The 17,529-nt window shown below is 47.9% G+C and overlaps 1 protein-coding gene and 1 long non-coding RNA gene across 21 annotated transcripts in view, besides 2 other annotated features; one reads left to right on the plus strand and one right to left on the minus strand.

Annotated features, from left to right (window-relative positions):
- The window catches only part of GRAMD1B (GRAM domain containing 1B), a 269,346-nt gene that overhangs the window by 65,631 nt on the left and 186,186 nt on the right, over nt 1-17,529 (plus strand). For 4 of the 20 annotated variants that reach the window (NM_001387024.1, NM_001387025.1, NM_001387026.1 and 1 more), the window contains exon 1: nt 6,217-7,114. The exons of 8 other annotated variants lie outside the window; for them this stretch is intronic. In NM_001387024.1, the coding sequence (NP_001373953.1) occupies nt 6,741-7,114 (374 nt within the window). In that variant the 5' untranslated portion in view covers nt 6,217-6,740. Of the gene's footprint in view, nt 1-4,693; nt 4,811-6,216; nt 7,115-11,381; nt 11,664-17,529 lie in introns of those variants that run through there. 8 more of the 20 variants (XM_047427322.1, XM_047427320.1, XM_047427321.1 and 5 more) reach the window with 4 other exon arrangements.
- On the minus strand, nt 1,024-7,162 carry LOC124902776 (uncharacterized). The gene is made up of 2 exons (XR_007062928.1): nt 6,895-7,162; nt 1,024-4,764 (listed from the first exon to the last, which is right to left on the minus strand). It is a non-coding gene; the product is annotated as an uncharacterized LOC124902776 (long non-coding RNA).
- Nucleotides 6,355-6,684: a silencer, noted in NCBI's record as "silent region_4015". NCBI's record gives its function as "represses an Ori minimal core promoter by ATAC-STARR-seq in GM12878 lymphoblastoid cells {active_cell/tissue: GM12878}" and the evidence as "EXISTENCE:reporter gene assay evidence [ECO:0000049][PMID:35858748]".
- Nucleotides 6,795-6,844: a silencer, noted in NCBI's record as "silent region_4016". NCBI's record gives its function as "represses an Ori minimal core promoter by ATAC-STARR-seq in GM12878 lymphoblastoid cells {active_cell/tissue: GM12878}" and the evidence as "EXISTENCE:reporter gene assay evidence [ECO:0000049][PMID:35858748]".

Raw genomic sequence — 17,529 nt, forward strand, 5'->3', positions numbered from 1 at the left:
CTATTTCAGATTTTCTCCATCTCTTACCAGAACTATTTGCCATTCATATGGTCAATATTCCAAAAATATTGGCTGATTGAATGATAGTCTCCTAATTGGTTTTTATGGTTCCCATCTGCTTTTTTCTCCAATTCAAATTTCATGCTGTCACCAGAGTTGATGCTTCTCAAATACAGGTTAGTAATGCAGTCCCCCAACACCAAAAAAAAAAAAAAAAAGAAAAAAGAAAACCACCAAACCCAAACCAATCTGAATAGCAACCCTTGCCTAAAGAATAAAATCTATAATTCAACACTAGGCTAGGTGTGGTGGCTCGCACCTGTAATCCCAGCACTTTGGAAGGCTGAGATAGGAGGATCCCTTTGGACCAGAAGTTCAAGACAAGCCTGGACAACATAGCAAGACCCTGTCTCTAATTAAAAACAAACAACCAACCAAAAACCCTTCTGCACTGCAATCTGACCCCTCATTTGTCCAGCCTCATTGTCTAATCCTGTATGTCTCACCCTATGCTCTGACTTATCTTTTCCTATTTTCAAAACCTCTTTGTGAGTTTTCACTCCTCAATGCTTTTATTCAAACTGCTAACACCCTATTCTTTTTTATTGAAATTCTGACTTGAAGTATTAACTTAAATACCCATTCCTCCATAGGACCTGCTTAGACTACCTCTTTTCCTCTAGTTAAAATTTATCAATCTTTCCAGTCACACCTCTTGTGCACTTGTATTTTGCACTTAATTAATTCTGCTTTGAGGGATCATGTGCTCCAATGCACCATGTGTATCTTATTTATCTAGCTATATCCCAAGGACTTCCTGAACAAGGAGCTTTACACAGTGTTCTAGCGTAACAACTACTTGTAGAATTAAACTGAGTTGAAAATCAACAAGAATAGTCCTGTTTCCTACGAAGGGTATTATAAAGGAAACTTATACATAACAAAGGCTAACATTTATGGAGCACTTACTGTGTGCCAAACTCTGTTCTAAGTGCCCTACACAGCACTAATGCTCACAATCACTCCAGCAAGGAGATGCTATTTATTTACTTAATTTTTCAGATGAGAAACTGAGTTGCAGAGAAGTTAAATAACTTAACCGTAATAAAACTGCTAGCAAGTGATGGAAACAGGTCCAAAACTCAGGTGGCTTGATTTTGGGTCTGCACACTCAATCACTAGTCGGTAGTTAGTATAAGCTGATGATATTTTGCAATGCTTCTGAGGAAAGCAACAGCAGAAATTCCAGCACATGCCACCTGCTTTCCTTGGGATGGGCAGCCAAGGACAGGTGGGGCGACCTCAGAAAGTCTTTTGCAGCCCTGGTTTGCACATAAGTCCTTGCAAGATTTAGAGGACAAGAGATGATGTCCTTCTGTGCCTTGGTATCCTTGGTGTCAAGTACAAGGGCAGCCAAATATTGTGCAAAACATTCTTCTTTGACGCCTAAGCCTTTTGATGAGCGATTAAACCAAGGAGGCTTATCTGGTGACAGTCCTTCTCCTGAGGTGACGTCACTGCTCACCCTGGCCCCTGTGAGGGCTGTTGGAAACAAAGAGCTGACCCTGTGTACTCCCCAAGGTTGAGAGCACTGCCCAGGGCTCTATTCTCGGAAACTGAGTCTCCATCAAAGTCCTGAAGCATTTTCTCCCTTTTTCCTTGGAAGGAGAAGCTGGATGTGGTGGTTGGTCAACTGTGGTTTGATTTAGGTTGTATTTAACCAGCACCAGCCTCCTCCTCCACACTGCTTCTCTAACCACACCAATTCAGTGCAGCATCCTCTGACCCTTCTTAAAGTAGTGAGCCCCTCCCTGGGGAAATGAAGGGAGGACTCGTGAAAGAAACAAAAGGAGATACCATGGGGAGGAGTTTAAGTTATTCCCTCCAATTCTTTCTCCTGTCTTCATCCCCGAACCCTCACTTCCTTGCTTCAGCACCATCCTGGTAATTGATCCCTGTATTTCTAGTTCACCAGTGCAAGATATTAAAGCTATTTGTGGGTCTCAGGGAGGTGTTTAGCATCCGGTGATCAAAATGCCTTTGAGCCAGTAACAGGTCAGCTCAAACAGACTTTGTTTTAGGTGTAAGTGAATTGCTTCTACTTTAAAAAGAAACAATCTGGGTCTTAGAGACCCACAGTAGTAGGGTGGGCTGGGCCTTTAAGAGATCATCTCTTTCCTGCCACTGCCTCTAAGTAGGCTCCAGTTACCTTTAAAAGACCTACAGAGAAAGCCATTCTCTACCCAGTCTTAGTCATTCAGGCCAGTCCTTAACCAGCCTTACACTCGGTAAATGTTTATCATCTATCCCAAATCCCCCATGCTGCACTCTACAGAAATGCATTTCCTCTTGCTCAGCAGCAAAATGAGAGCTGCAGAGTGAAATCTGGCCATCCTTCATTGTGTGTTTGAAGACAGTCAACATTGCTCTCAGCATCATCCACGTTTCTGTCCGTATTTCCAGCTTCCCTGCCAGCCTCAAATTCCACTTCTTCTATGCTCACTGCCTGCTTCTTTCCCTCATAATGGGCCAACCGTTGGGATTGGCCGTTCGAATGTTGTGTAGGGGAGAGACTCTGTGTCCCAGTGTTGAGAGTGGGGATTGTCTGTCTTGCAACAACAGTGTTGTGGGGAGACATTCCTGTGTCTTTGGGAGTTCCCTGCCTTGGCATCCTGGAGCAGGTGCAATAAGGTGTCCGGGGTGCCAGCGCCTTCCAGTTCACATTTACTTGGATGTGTACCCAGGAGAAATCTAGTCTGGAAGCTACTATGTTTCACTAAAGTTTTCCCCTGGAAATTGAATAATAATAGTAGTTTATGAGTCTCCAGAAGTAATAGACAGGTGTTGGGTGTCTTGTGTCTGTAGGAAAAGGGAGCTTGTGCAGCTGAGAATAAACAACAGTTGCTTGGTAATATGACCTCCTTTCATTTAAAGTCAGAGGCCTGGCTGCAGGTGGGGAAAGGGGAGGCTGGGTTGTTCTGGTTACCACCTGTCTGGGGAAGCGGGGAATGGGGGCAAAGGTGAGGTCTGTTTCACAGAGAACTGTGCGGTCGCTGAGAGCCAAATATTGGAGAGAAGAAATATGGGAGTGGGGAGACTTGGGGAGCAAGTGCAATCGCTGAGATTCTGACGCAGGGCATGAAAACTCTTTGGTTCTGATGTTGGCACCAGCTACTTTGAGAAATTGTTTCTCTACACTTTTGGAGGCCTCTAAACTGGCTTCAGAAGGCATGAGTTCCAATTCTGGCCTTGTCATTGATTAGCCATCATCATTTATCTGTGACCTTGGATAAACTACTGAATCTCTCTGTCCCACTTTCATCAATTGTAAAGGCCGCTGGGAAGACACAGTGTGATGTATGAAAGCTCTTTCCAAAAGTGTAAAGGTCACCATACACATAACAAGCACAGGATACTGGAGAGAATTAAAGGAAGGAGAAACTTGATTCTTTTCTCAAGGAGCTTATAGTCTTAACAGTAATGTTGGCTCACAGCTGTAGGGCATTTCATATTTCAAAGCAGTGCCTCATTTATTATCTTACTTGCCAGAGCCATGGGCAACAGAAACAGCTGGAAAGGGCTGAAGGATGTGTTTTGAACAGGGTTTTAACGGTCAAAAGGGTTATGGCTTGAAAAAAAGAAGGGACTGCAGGTGCAAGTGAGTAAGGACAGCGTTCAGGCTAAGAGAGCTCAGGGTATCTGCTTCCCAATCAAGTGAAACATTTTAGATTCCTGCTTGGAGGTTTTCCCTCAGGCCGGGTGAAATGTAAATGATCACTCTTAGCCACTGCTGTGCCCAAGGCTTGAATTAAATCTCACAGGATTTCAGTTCCAGAATCTACTGTGAGTGGGAAAAGTGGCTGAAGTGTGTGGGAAGAGGGTGCTGGTGGCTTTTCTTCCTTGTAAGAGGTATACACTTAAATTCAGAGTGCCCAGAACAAACTTAAAGCTTCCTCCCTTGTTTCTTCTCCCTCTTCCCAAGCTGCCCATAGAATCTTCTGGCCCCTGTCTTGTGGACCATCCTTTTGTGTTTTTGGCCTCCAAGCGAATGGTGGTGTCCTGGCTTCCTTTCTTCCCATAAGCCCCTGAGACCCTCATCTTCTATGTCAAGAGCCCGCCCAAAACTCAGGTTCCTTGAACTGGGAAGTTATCAGATCCCTTGCAAAACACTCGTCCTTGGAGGAAGTACAAGGCAGTGAACAAACTCTGTGGAACTTGGCTTAGCTCCCGATCCTGAAGTTTGGAGTTACAGTGCAATCTCCTCAGCATCCCTGGAGCCGGAAGAGGTGACCTTGGCAGGCCTGACACCTGATGGCAAGGGGTTTCTGCTTTCTGTGCTATGTCCAGGAGTTAAAGTAGAGTGAAACCAAATCACTCCTGAGAGGGCCAGTGGCTGGATTTCAGAAACGGGGGCTGACATTCCAGGGAGTCATTTATGGGAGGGCCTGGCCTTGGCTCTTCAGCCGCAGTATCTCTCTCCCTGAGGAAGAAATATTTCCCTTGGTTTCCCAGCCTCTCAAAAGTTGTGTAATGTCAGGATGCCTTGAGCTTTTCCATACTTGACAAGTGTCATTGCAGAGCTTGGTAGATCCATAGCCAGCTGTCATCCTTGATGTCTTGCTGAACTGCAGGGATGTATTTACTTGCAGTGAATTCTTGTGATCTTTAGGGATGTGAATTTTCCTCAGCTTCGGGACACTTGTGAAATGTGACTTTTGTCCTGGCACGGAAGCTGGGCATTGGCTCCCAGATGGAAACTGGACTCTGAGAGAGGCAGAAAAGAAGGGTGGATCAGATTGTGGACTTCATGGTATGTTCTTGGGTGCTTCTCATGATCTCTTTGAAAGTTACTGACCAGGCTGGGCATGGTGGCTCATGCCTGTAATCTCAGCACTTTGGGAGGCCAAGGTGGGCAGATCACTTGAGGCCAGGAGTTTGAGACCAGCCTGGGCAATATAGCAAGACCTCATATCGACAAAAAGAAATAAAACTTAGCTGCGTGTGGTGGTGCGCACCTGTACTCCCAGCTACTCAGGAGGCTCAGCTGGGAGGACAGCTTGAGCCCAGGAATTCAAGGTTGCGGTGAGCCATGACTGCACCACTGCACTCCAGCCTGGGCAACAGAGTGAGACTTTGTCTCTTAAAAACAAAACAAAACAAAACAGTTACTGACCCAAGAGACAAATGCATTGGGCTGGGGTTGAAGGAGGAGAATGGCTGCTACAGCCCTGCTCTAGGAGCTGGGCTGGGTTAGACTCAGTGCCCACAGAGAGCACCTAAATAGGATGGATCGGTTCTAGGGTTGATGATCTCTTAGGGCCTGGGTCTAGAGAGTGAGTGTGGTTCAGCACATCTTGGGATGCTACCAGGACTGAACCAGACTTCCTAGGTTCCATGACATGGGGACATACTGGATTCTGTGACTCAGTCCATGGCAGGCTGAAGCAGAACTGAATCAGCCCTCAGCAATGTAAGGGGGGGTACCCTCGACTCCCTGGGGCTCTGTTGGATGCATTGCTTTGTGGGTGCTCACCGACTCCTCATTTCATTCTTTGCTAGGGACGCGGCTATGGTACTGGCAGCTGGCTCATGTACAGGGTTCAGGCCCCATTTTCCTTACTGGTCCTGTGTCCTTTGTCTCTCAGACCCTGTTGTCTGTCTTTCCTTGGTATGTCATGTCTGGTATCCTCAGCTCACGCCGCCACGGGAGAACTGTCCTCTTCTCAGCTTGTCATTTTGGAAGCAGCCTCCAGCAACCTTGCTTTCCTCCTCTGACTATACTCCGGCCTGCAGTGCCACTACTCACGCCCCCAAATAATTTAAACTGCCTTTCTTAGGAGACAAGAGCTAGTTGAAAAGTCTCCTCATTTTCCTTCAACCCTGTATCATGGGTGGCCTGAGAGAGTGAGGACTGAATTCATTGACTCCCCTTTCTCTGCACCCCCCACCCCCAAGGAAATAGCCGAGTTCGACTAATGGGAGTTGCCTGGCCAATCGTTGCCCTGAGAAAGTTTGGTTTGTGATCCTATTTCAGTAGGCTGATTGGAGCAGCCTTTACTTGGAGGTCGAGTCCCTCCCCGAGGGAATCCGTGTACAGTTACACTAGCGGTCGCTGCCAGTGCTAGCCCATTCAGGATAGCCCCCCTCACCCCGCCCCCAGCCCCCGCTCCTCCTCCTCCTTTTTTGTTTTTATCCAGTGTCTCGCTTCCTCTCTCTCTCTCTCTCTCTGTCTCTCTCTCCCTTTCCCTCCTACCACTGCCTCTTCCTCCCGCTCTCTACCTCCCTGCAGCGCCAAGCCGGCTCCCCAACCTGGTCTGCTGAACGCAAACCGCTGAGAGTTTGCTGCACCGCCCCCTGGGGCCCCTGGCTGCCGAGTCCCGCTAAGGCAAAGACGCCAGCAAGCGAGGAAGCGCAGCGGAAGAAAAACAAGCGGGCGCGCGAGGGGAGCCCCAGGAGGGCTGCCGAGTGGCTGGCAGGCGGCTCCCGCCCCTCCCGGGTGGCCTCGCCGGCGGCTGACGGCCCGGAGGACGCGCGCTCCGAAAAGTTAGACTCCGGGCGGCGGCGCGCTACGCCGCGTCCCCTCGCGTCCCTTCCTCGCTGCGCTCCGGGAAAGGAACTTGTTCCTTCGGCCCCAGGATTGGGGAGTGTGCCGCGGGGCCGAGGGTGGGGAACAGCCAGAGGGAGACGCGAACCAGGCCGCTGGCGGAGGGCTCAGGGGGAGCGCAGAGGCGACGGCCCCCATGCCGGCGGCCAACATGATGGAGAACCGGCCGCTGCCCGCCCTGCAGGTGCCCGAGCCGCAGGGTGCGCCCGAGGGCAGCCCGGTCTGGTCCAGTTCGTCGACCCCCACGCTTCGCCGCCGGCGCTTCAAGATGCGCCGCATGAAGAACGTACAGGAGCAGAGCCTGGAGGCCGGGCTGGCCCGGGACCTGCCCGCCGTCTTGGCCCCCGGCAAGGAGTTCCTGCAGCTGCCGTCCATCGAGATCACGCCCTCCAGCGACGAGGACACCCCGTGGTCCAACTGCTCCACACCCAGCGCGTCCCCGCGCCGAAAACGCTTCCTCCTCCGCAAGTGGCTGAGGGTGAGGGAGCGGAAGGAGTGCAGTGAAAGCAGGTACGTCCCCGTTCCGCCCGTCTCCTTCCCTTCCCTCCCGTCCTCTCCAGAGCCGTCCAGGGCCCCGGGGCATTCTGGGGGAAACGTCCTGGGGGAGAACAGGAGCCCGTCACCAGAGGCGCTTCTGGAGGGCGCTGCGCCTGGTCCCAGGGATGGTGGCATTCAGCTTCCACGCGTGCCACCCGCTCCCCAACTCAGGGTGAGGGGCTTCATGTTGCACGACACGTTTACGTGGGGCTTTACGCTGCATTCCATCTCCCTTGATCCTCGCAGCGAAATAAATAATAAAAATAATAACAGCTAATAGTTATTGAGCCCTTACCATGTGCGGGCCACTATGTTGCGCACTTCATGTACCTCCAGATTTCATCCCTACGCAAACTCTCTGAGGTAGGTATTACTATGGCTCCCTTTCTACAGAAGGAGATAGTAAAAGGCCAGAGAACAGTTAAGTGGTTTATATTTCAGGACTCCGTTTCAATCTTATTTTATGTTTGGCCACACCGGATTGCCTTAACTGGCTCACTTGTGTGGAAGTGAAATATTGACATTGAGTGAGTCACATTTCCTACCATATCAGAGTCTTTAGACATCGATACCTACAAGACTGTGGTTTGTACCAGCTAGTTTTTTGCCTAGGTCAATGTGGCATCTGGGTAATGGGAGAAGGTTGAGCTTCCCTCACGTAGAGAATTGCTGCAGGGCGCCCTAGAGCAGCTCTACACAGCCCTGGTCAGGACTGCTGCTTCAGGAAGTTGTGTCTGAGCCAAGCCCCTTGCCTGGTGGAGGGCAGGGAGTCCTCACTTGTTCATCGGTACCACGAATCCTACATATTTACTTTGAGACTTTAGGGTCCTGTCTCTTAATGGATTTGTGTTCTTGTGCGGAGCAACTGAGTCATTGATCACTTTCCCTGGAATTCCTTCTCCAAATCTGTTCAATTACATTGATTTCAATTCAGTAAGTACTTACTGAATATTTCTGTGAGCTCAGTCTAGTAACAGCTAATAGTGGTGATGTTGAGGAGGGTGTGGGGGAAGGATAGGTAGAGTAAGGGGTTGTAGAGGCTGAGAAGGAAGATGAGGGGAGGCTTGTATAAGAAATGAACACCTGGGCACAGTGGCTCACACCTGTAATCCCAGCACTTTGGGAGGCCGAAGCGTGTGGATCACTTGAGGTCAGGAGTTCGAGACCACCCTGGCCAACATGGCGAAACTCCATTTCTGTTAAAAGTACAAAAATTAGCTGGGTGTAGTGGCAGGCTCCTGTAATCCCAACTACTTGGGAGGCTGAGGCAAGAGAATCGCTTGAACCTGGGTACAGGGGCTGCAGTGAGCCAAGACTGTGCCACTGCACTCCAGCCTGGGCCACAGAGTGAGACTCTGTCTCAAAAAAAAAAAAAAAAATTGAAGACCTGTGGGAGCCATTGGAAAACATACTGTGCTGTGTGGTACTGATTGTACTAGAAAAGAGAGAGTTCTGGAGAAGTAGAGGAAGACTTCTTGAAGGAAGAGGCTGACACCATGACAAATACAGATGGGTAGTAGAAAACAGCAGGAAAAGAATGAGGTTGGGTGCATAAGACTGGCTGAAGGGAACAATATGAAGAATGGCAGGAGAAACAGGATGAGCCATGTGTCTTTGCGGGGTGGGGACTGAGGAGTAGGATCCGTTATGCAGAAGATGGGCATTTTGGGCCTTCCAGAGTTTATCTTTTCTGTTTGCAACAACTGAGCATGGTTCTCTCAGCAGGTGCAGATACAGAGCTTTGTTCCGTGGATTTTTGTGGACGCTGGGGATAGAAGTTCTTTCTGTTTGGTACTTCATCCTGCTACCCTTTTCACAGAGTAGAGGGAAATGGGGCAAGCTTGGTGGGAGCTAACCTTGAACTAAAGTAGTTTGTCAGGCCAGGGGCGGTGGCTAATGCCTGTAATCCCAGCACTTTGGGAGGCTGAGGCGGGAGGGTCACCTGAGGTGAGGCGGGAGGGTCACCTGAGGTCAGGAGTTCGAGACCAGCTTGGCCAACATGGTGAAACCCTGTCTCTACTAAAAATACAAAAAATTAGCCAGGTGTAGTAGCGGGTGCCTGTAATCCCAGCTACTCGGGAGGCCAAGGCGGGAGAATTGCTTGAACCCGGGAGGTGGAGGTTGCAGTGAGCCAAGATCGCGCCATTGCACTCCAGCCTGGGCAACAAGAGCGAAACTTCATCTTAAATGAATAAATAAATAAAGTAGTTTGTCATGGCTTGTCGGCTTTTCCCTCCAATGTAAAAGAAACTAAAAGAGACCTTCTTTTGATCTTGAGATTCTGCCATATATACTGAGGACAAAATATGGTAAAAAGAGCCGGGTGCAATGGCATGGCCTGTATTCCCAGCTACTTGGGTTGTGGTGTGAGGATCACATGAGCCCAAGAGTTCAAGGCTTTAGTAGGCTATAATGGTGCCTGTGAATAACCACTGCATTTCAGCCATGGTGAGACCCCCACCCCCAACGCTTAAAATGTTACGTGCGTGTGTGTGTGTGTGTGTGTGTGTGTGTGTGTGTCTTTGTGTGTATGAAGAAAAAAATCTTGCATTGCTGGCTAGGATGGGGATGACAGTAGATTTGGTTAGATTTAGGAAGGTATTCCTGGTTTCGAGAGTTGTCTATGTGTGTAGTGGAACCTTCATTTTGTTGGATTTGGGGACATATCCTTAAAATTTGGCAGGATTTTCATCTAGATGTAGTTCAGGCAGTTATTTTAAGTGGTGACTTTTGGATTAGAAGAACCTATGTATCAGCCGGGCGCAGTGGCTCACGCCTGTAATCCTAGCACTTTGGGAGGATGAGGCAGGCAGATTGCCTGAGCTCAGGAGTTAGCCACCAACTTGGGCAACACGGAGAAACACCGTCTCTACTAAAAATACAAAAATTAGCCAGGTGTGGTGGTGGACACCTGTAGTCCCAGCTACTCGGGAGGCTGAGGCAGGAGAATTGCTTGAACCTAGGAGGTGGAGGTTGCAGTGAGCCGAGATCTCGCCACTGCACTCCAGCCTGGGCAACAGAGTGAGACTCCGTTTCCAAAAAAAAAAAAAAAAAAAAAAAACCACCACCAACAAAAAACAAGAACATATGTATCTGAAAAGGCAGACTCTGGATTCAAATTCAAATTCGTGTGACTCACATCTACTCTTAGCTACTGTTATACTGCCTTCTGTTGGAATCTATTTGGATTGTGTGTAAAACAAAGCCCCATCATTTTTAGGCCTCGAAGATGAAAGGCTTCCTTCCAAGAAAAGCAGCAATCAAGTGAATAGGTGCTCGTAGATACCACCAAGTGGCCTGAGAAGGAATTGGTGGCGGGGTGTGGTAGCTCATGCCTGTAATCCCAGCACTTTGGGAGGCTGAGGAGGCAGATCATTTGAGGCCAGGAGTTCGAGACCAGCCTAGCCAACATGGCAAAACCCTGTTGCTACTAAAAATACAAAAATTAGCTGGACATGGTAGTGCGCGCCTGTAATCCCAGCTACTCAGGAGGCTGAGGCATGAGAATTGCTTGAACTTTGTGGGCAAAGGTTTCAGTGAGCTGAGATCACACCACTGCACTCCAGCCTGGGCGACAGAGCAAGACTCCATTTCCAAAAGAAAATAGAATTGGCATTTAGAGGCAATGGAGTGCAGGGAACATTGGACTTAATATCAGAAGACAGCTGTATATTTAAGTTCTATCATCGATTAGCTATGGAGATTAGCTTGAGCATTTCACTTTACCTCCATGAGTTTCACCTTCTTCATTTGTGGAAGAGGATCTCTGTGGGTTAATGGGAAGTCTGAAGAGTAGTGAATGTGAAAATGTTTTGCAAACTTCCTCTTGCTGTGCAAGGGTGAAGGCTTATTTCATTACTCTGTGAGTCTCTCACATGGAATGGATGTTTGCTTAAAAGTATGAGGTTACATACTCACGTGTCCTGGAGCAGCACCTGAGCCTCCTCACACAATTCAGGATTTGGAAATGATGGTTGGAAAATGGCTCTGCTCTGGCCTGGATTAGGGAGGATTAGCATACCAGGCCCAGCATGACGTCTCCACATTCCCCACCCCAAATCTCCTGCTCCAAAAGAGAGAAAAACACCTTTCAGGCTTGCTATGAAATTCAGCGTGATGTGGTAGAAGTTAAGTGGCTGAGAGGGCCATAGCTTGTGGATTTCTTTTAATTTTTGTTTTTTCATTATTTGTTTCATTATTTGTTTGTTTGTTTGTTTTTTTACTTGTCACTGACTTGAAGCTCAAGCTTGCGGATTTTCACTGCACAAAGTTGAAAATATGAAGAGGATTAGGAGACCCTTTTCTTCTCCTTAAACCCTAGGAAGGAAGAAGTGGAACAAATGGTAAAGACAGCATGGCTTACTAACTTTCCAGTGTTCACTGGAATACTCCAAGACCAATCATGTTCATCTTTGTATCGTCACAGCACTGTACCTGACCTCTTACAGTGATCTATAGATCTATAGATGTTTGTTGATGAGTTAATAATGAGTAAATAAATGATTCCTTTTTCTCTACTGTTTAAAGTGAAATTCTTTTATTCATGAGTGTGGGAAAATTTCCAAAAGGAGATGAGTACAGAGCTGAGTTTTTAAAAACAGCTTTATTGAGATATAATTTATATAATATACAATTCACCTATTTAAAGCATAATTCAGTGGTTTTTAATATATTCACAGCTATGTACAACCATCACCACAGTCAGTTTTTAAAAACGTTTGTTGCCCCACAAAGAAACTCATACTTTTTTTTTTTTTTTTTTTTTTTGAGACGGAGTCTCCCTCTCTCACCCAGGCTGGAGTGCAGTGGCTCAATCTCGGCTCACTGCAGCCTCTGCCTCCTGGGTTCAAGTGATTCTCCTGCCTAAGCCTCCTGAGTAGCTGGGATTACAGAAGCTCGCCACCACGCCCAGATAATTTTTGTATTTTTAGTAGAGACAGGGTTTCACCATGTTGGCCAGGTGGGTCTTGAACTCCTGACCTCATGATCTGCCCACCTCAGCCTCCCAAAGTGCTGGGATTACAGGCATGAACCACTGTGCCTGACTGAAACTCATACTTTTTGGCTAGCACCTTCACCCTCTCCATCCCATTTCCCCAGCCCTAGACAACCACTGATCTATAGAGAGCTGAGTTTTGAAGGGTTAACAAATGCCTATAGGTGAAAGCAGTTTGGATGTGTTGGCTTGAAGATAGAGATGGATGACCAAATGTGATCTTGTTGAGGAATGTGGAAAAATGAAGGTGGTGAGGCTGACAGACCGAAGGTGATTTATGCCAAAGAGTTTGAATTTCAATGAATCACTCAGTCATCAAACAGGTATTGAGATCCTATATGCAGAGCGCTTCCTAGGCAAAGTGAAGTCAATTCAATGAGGAGCTGTCGTAGATTCTGGAGCTTGGGAGAGACACTCTCAAAGTGTTGCTCGAGGCAACTACTTTCTGCTGTTCCGTGTAGTGGGGAGGAAGCGTGGGGAGGTGAAGGCCTGGAGTCTTGCTCTTTTCTTTCAGTGGTCTAACTGCAAAGCATCATCTTAACTACCATTGAACATAAGACGGCACAATTTTTTTTTATTATACTTTAAGTTTTAGGGTACATGTGCACAATGTGCAGGTTTGTTACATATGTATACATGTGCCATGTTGGTGTGCTGCACCCATTAACTCGTCATTTAACTTTAGGTGTGTCTCCTAATGCTATCCCTCCCCGCTCACCCTACCCCACAACAGGCCCTGGTGTGTGATGTTCCCCTTCCTGTGTCCATGTGTTCTCATTGTTCAATTCCCACCTATGAGTGAGAACATGCGGTGTTTGGTTTTTTGTCCTTGCGATAGTTTGCTGAGAATGATGGTTTCCAGCTTCATCCGTGTCCCTACAAAGGACATGAACTCATCCTTTTTTATGGCTGCATAGTATTCCATGGTGTATATGTGCCACATTTTCTTAATCCAGTCTATCAAGATGGCACAATTTTTTTGCTGGCCATGTTGCCCTCTGAGCTCAGGGAATAGCGTAGCCTGCAGTTGATGGGGCAGGCTCTTAGCATTAATACTCACATGTCTTTCTAACTTCCTTGCCCAAAACTGGTTGTGGTGATTGTTCAGAACCCAAACTGAGGATTGGAACCCTTCTCTGAATTGCTAGGTTCAGAAAACTCAGAAATTAGATGAAACCACATCTCCCAGGATGTCTTCTTGTCATCACTCTCTGGAGGGGGAAGGGAAAGCTGACGACGGGTGAGTGAGTTGGGTGGTGGCCAACTGCAGGCTCTTTCTAGGGGATGCAGAAGCACCTCTCTGCATCTCTGCCCAGTATACCTTCACTGTTACTATCTTTTGTACCATCTTTCACCTGGCTGTTATGTCCCTTCTTCTACATAACACACCTACCCCCGTCATGACTGCTCACAGTCTAGCAGGCTGGCGGCTAGAGAGTGGAGGGCCTCAGGGTTTCCACTTAGCTCCATGTCTGACCACTGGTAGTGCCGCTCACTAATTGTGCCCAGCATGCTAGGCTAGGTCATCTCTCTGGTGCCAGCCTAGCTGGCGTGTGGTTTGCCTGTAATGAATACACAGCATTGGTATATTTATCTTGATTCTTCATCTCCTTCCTCTGACCTTTGGAGGGAGACTTGTTTCGGGTTTCAGCTCCATTTCCAGGAGAGCAGGGTGATTTTGTGCATCTGAATGCTCTCCCCCTCAGCCCCCGTCACTATTGGTGTAGCTTCTCCGCTCTGTGTGTGCCCTGCTACATATGAGAAGCACAGGAAGTGTGGGAGAGAGAAAACTCATGTCCTTCTTAACACAAAGCAAAGAACAAATGCAAAGGAGACCTATGATTGGTCAGTGGATTAAGTAAGTGATCGGTGCTGGATAGGGTTAACTGGCAAAAACTTCCACCAGATTCATAATTCCTTGAGGGCAGGGACCGGTCTTACTTTGTGCCAAGTTTTCTGCCAAGCAGCCTTAAATACATTATCACATTAAATCCTCACAACAATGCCTCGGTCCCCCCAGGCAGGTTTTCCAGCTGAGGAACCTGAAGTTCAGAGATTAACATTCTCCTGGTCCAACAGAAGCAAGGCTGGGATTTGAAGCGTGTCCTAATTCCAAAGCCTGAGCTCATTACAGCTCCACTGCCCTATCCCCCCAGGGCCTGGAAGCAGTCAGCCCTCCCCTGCTTGAGAACTTGTAGATGTGGAGGGGGAGGTCCTGAAGCAAGGTAGGAATGTGGACAGTCGGGAGGCCATTGAGGAGATGTGTGTGAGGTTGTGGGAAGCAGAGAGGTGTGAGGATGACCCTGTTGACGGTCTAGGTGGACTCCTCCGTGAGAATCAGCTAGCGCCTGGCTGTAGATGTGGTTTCTAGATTAAAACAATCTGTGGAAACTGAGACGGTAGAGATGGAACCCTGTGGGCTGATTTCATACTGGCCAGCTTCCTCTGTGGGAGTTGGTATTTGGAAAATTTCCTTGGTGGTTATGCACTCAGAGGGTGCCAATTACACATCAGGTAAGGGGCTGGTATGAACATGGGGCAGATGCACAGGTGATCTTTCTGTCCTAGTTGGTGCATTTCTCCCAGGTATTATATAGCCTCCAATTGCTATGCTGGTCACTGATAATTGCTTCTAGGGTAACGCAGAAGTTAAGGAGTCTGAATGGCTAAGCTGCCAGTGGGGAATTTTCTTCCTGACCCCAGTGGGCAAACTGCTGGCCCTGAAGCAGGTGTTTAGACCTGGGGCCAAGGCTGGCCCGGAGAGCCTGGAGGTGGTTGCTGGGTTGCTGTGTGTACAAGAGCTTGATGAAACCTGAGGGTTTTTCCTGGGGCATTTGCCCCAATGGGATTCTTTCTTCCATAGCACATATCAGTGTGTGACTTGCCAAGGGGCTGTTGTGCCTGGTGTGAGGAGGGACATAGCTTCTTATTGTCTTGGGGGGTGGGAATCTATGAGCTCTTCTCCTGTGACTCTGGAGCCTGGAAGGAAGTGTCCTCTCAGAGGAGACTTGTTTCGGGTCTCTCAGGGACTCAGAACAGAAAGCTTCTCTCAGGGACTCAGAACAGAAAATCGAATGTGGGTTTTCCAGTGGGAGAAGGGAAGCAGGATGGTGATGCCTCAGCTGGTGAGGAGATGTTGGGCAGTAGCCAGCCACTCCCTGCCACCATAGGCAGCAACCTCCTAAACACACTCCTGTTTTCAAATATCCTCTTCTGTTATCAGACCACATGTCTGGATTTTCGATTCAGATATTGTCATATAGCTCGAAATCCTCACTAGGAAAATGTGGCTGTGCCTTTGGTCCCTTTGTGGAAGGGAGGGATAAAGAAAACCATGGGTTTTTCCTTTGAGGCCCTAACACATTGGGTAGTCAGAGGGTATGAAGCCCTTCTGTGTCCTCTGTATGTCCTCAAGCTGGGATGAGACTCCGGTTCTCCAATTCTGATCTGTAGATGAGATGGAGGAATGAGATGACCAGGCACGTCACGGAGGCAGTGCAGGGTCAGAGCTGAAACTCAGGCCTCTGACCTGAAATCTCGACCAGTTTCTAACAGACCTATTACATCTCTGCAGCAGCCTCATTCTTTTTAAGGTCTCTCCCTCTCAGCACATCACTGTGGTCAAGCCTGTTCCCCCACCCAGCCTGGTGCCTCTTCCCTCCACAATCTGACCACAGAGATTTTCAGTCTTGCTGCTTCTGGTTGGCAAGTTTATCCAGGAAATGATGGAGCTGAGGGAGATGACTAGAAAAACAATAAACAACCTATTTGGTTTTTGCCCTCCTTTTTGCAGCCATAGAAAAATAATTTTCTGGGGGAGGGGGAGCGCCCAGTTTGGGGATGGTAACCCTTGCAATATTTGCCTCAGCAATTAGGAAAATACAGAAAGGCAATGGATGGTTAGTTTAGTGACACATTTTTGAGACTCTCCAAGAGTCTTCAAGCTTGTTGTCTTAAAAGGAATCATTTTAAAAAATGTAGTGCATGTGCTGCTGAAGTGAGCACAAGAAATCATTTTTTATGCCATAAAAGTCAACGCGGCCAGATGCAGTGGCTCACGCCTGTAATCCTAGCACTTTGGGAGGCCAACGCAGGCAGATAACCTGAGGTCAGGAATTGAAGACCAGCCTGGCCAACATGGTGAAACCCCGTCTCTACTAAAATACAAAAATTAGCCAGGCATGATGGTGGGTGCCTGTAATCCCAGCTACTCGGGAGGCTGAGACGGGAGAATCGTTTAAACCGGGAAACAGTGGTTGCAGTGACCCAAGATAGCGCCACTGCACTCCAGCCTGGGCGGCTGAGTGAGACTCCGTCTCAAAAGAAAAAAAAAGTCAGCATATTGTATCTAATAAAATAGCTAGTTAATTGTAAAGTTTTGGATAGTAGGAAAAAGGAAAACATAATTTTATCATGTTAACTCAGTTATTAGAGGGTATATTGATCTGTTTGTGTTGTTATAAAGTAATACCTGAGACTGGGTAACTTATAAAGAAAAGAAGTTTATTTGGCTCATGGTTCTGCTGGCTGCATAAGAAGCATGGTGCCAGTATCTGCTTCTGACCTTAGGAAGCTTCTATTCCTGGTGGAAAGCAAATGGGGGTTGATATGGCTTGGCTGCGTCCCCACCCAATTCAATCTCATCTTGAATTCCCACATGTTGTGGGAGGGACCTGGTGGGAGGTAATTGAATCATGGGGGCAAGTTTTTCCTGTGCTGTTCTCAGGATAGTGAATAAGTCTCATGAAATCTGATAGTTTTAAAAATGGGAATTTCCTTGCACAAGCCCTCTTCTCTTGTCTGCCACCATGTGAGATGTGCCTTTCACCTTCCACCATGATCGTGAGGCCTCCCCAGCCACGTGGAACTGTAAGTCCAATAAACCTCTTTCTTTTGTAAATTTCCCAGTCTCAGGTATGTCTTTATTGGCAGCCTGAAAATGGACTAATACAGGGGAGCAGGGTTGTCACATGGTGAGAAGTTGCAAGAAAGAGAGGTAGGGGTGTCAGGCTCCTTTTAACAAGCAGATCTTGCAGGAACTAAGAATGAGTACTCACTCATTCTCGAAAGAATGGCACCAAACCTTTCATAAGAGATCCTCCCCCACAGCCCAAACACCTCCCACCAGGTTCTCCTCCTACACTAGAGACAAAATCTCAGCATGCAGGCCGGGTGTGGTGGTTCACGCCTATAATCCTAGCACTTTGGGAGGCTGAGGCAAGAGGATTGCCGCTTGAGCCGAGGAGTTGGAGGCCAGCCTGGACAACATAGTGACCCCTATCTCTACAACAAATTTAAAAAATTAGCCAGGGCCAGGCATGGTGGCTTGCACCTGTAATCCCAGAATTTTGGGAGGCCAAGTCAGGAATATTGCTTAGGCCCAGGAGTTTGA

This window comes from Homo sapiens, chromosome 11, assembly GCF_000001405.40.
Source record: "Homo sapiens chromosome 11, GRCh38.p14 Primary Assembly".
NCBI lineage: Eukaryota > Metazoa > Chordata > Mammalia > Primates > Hominidae > Homo > Homo sapiens.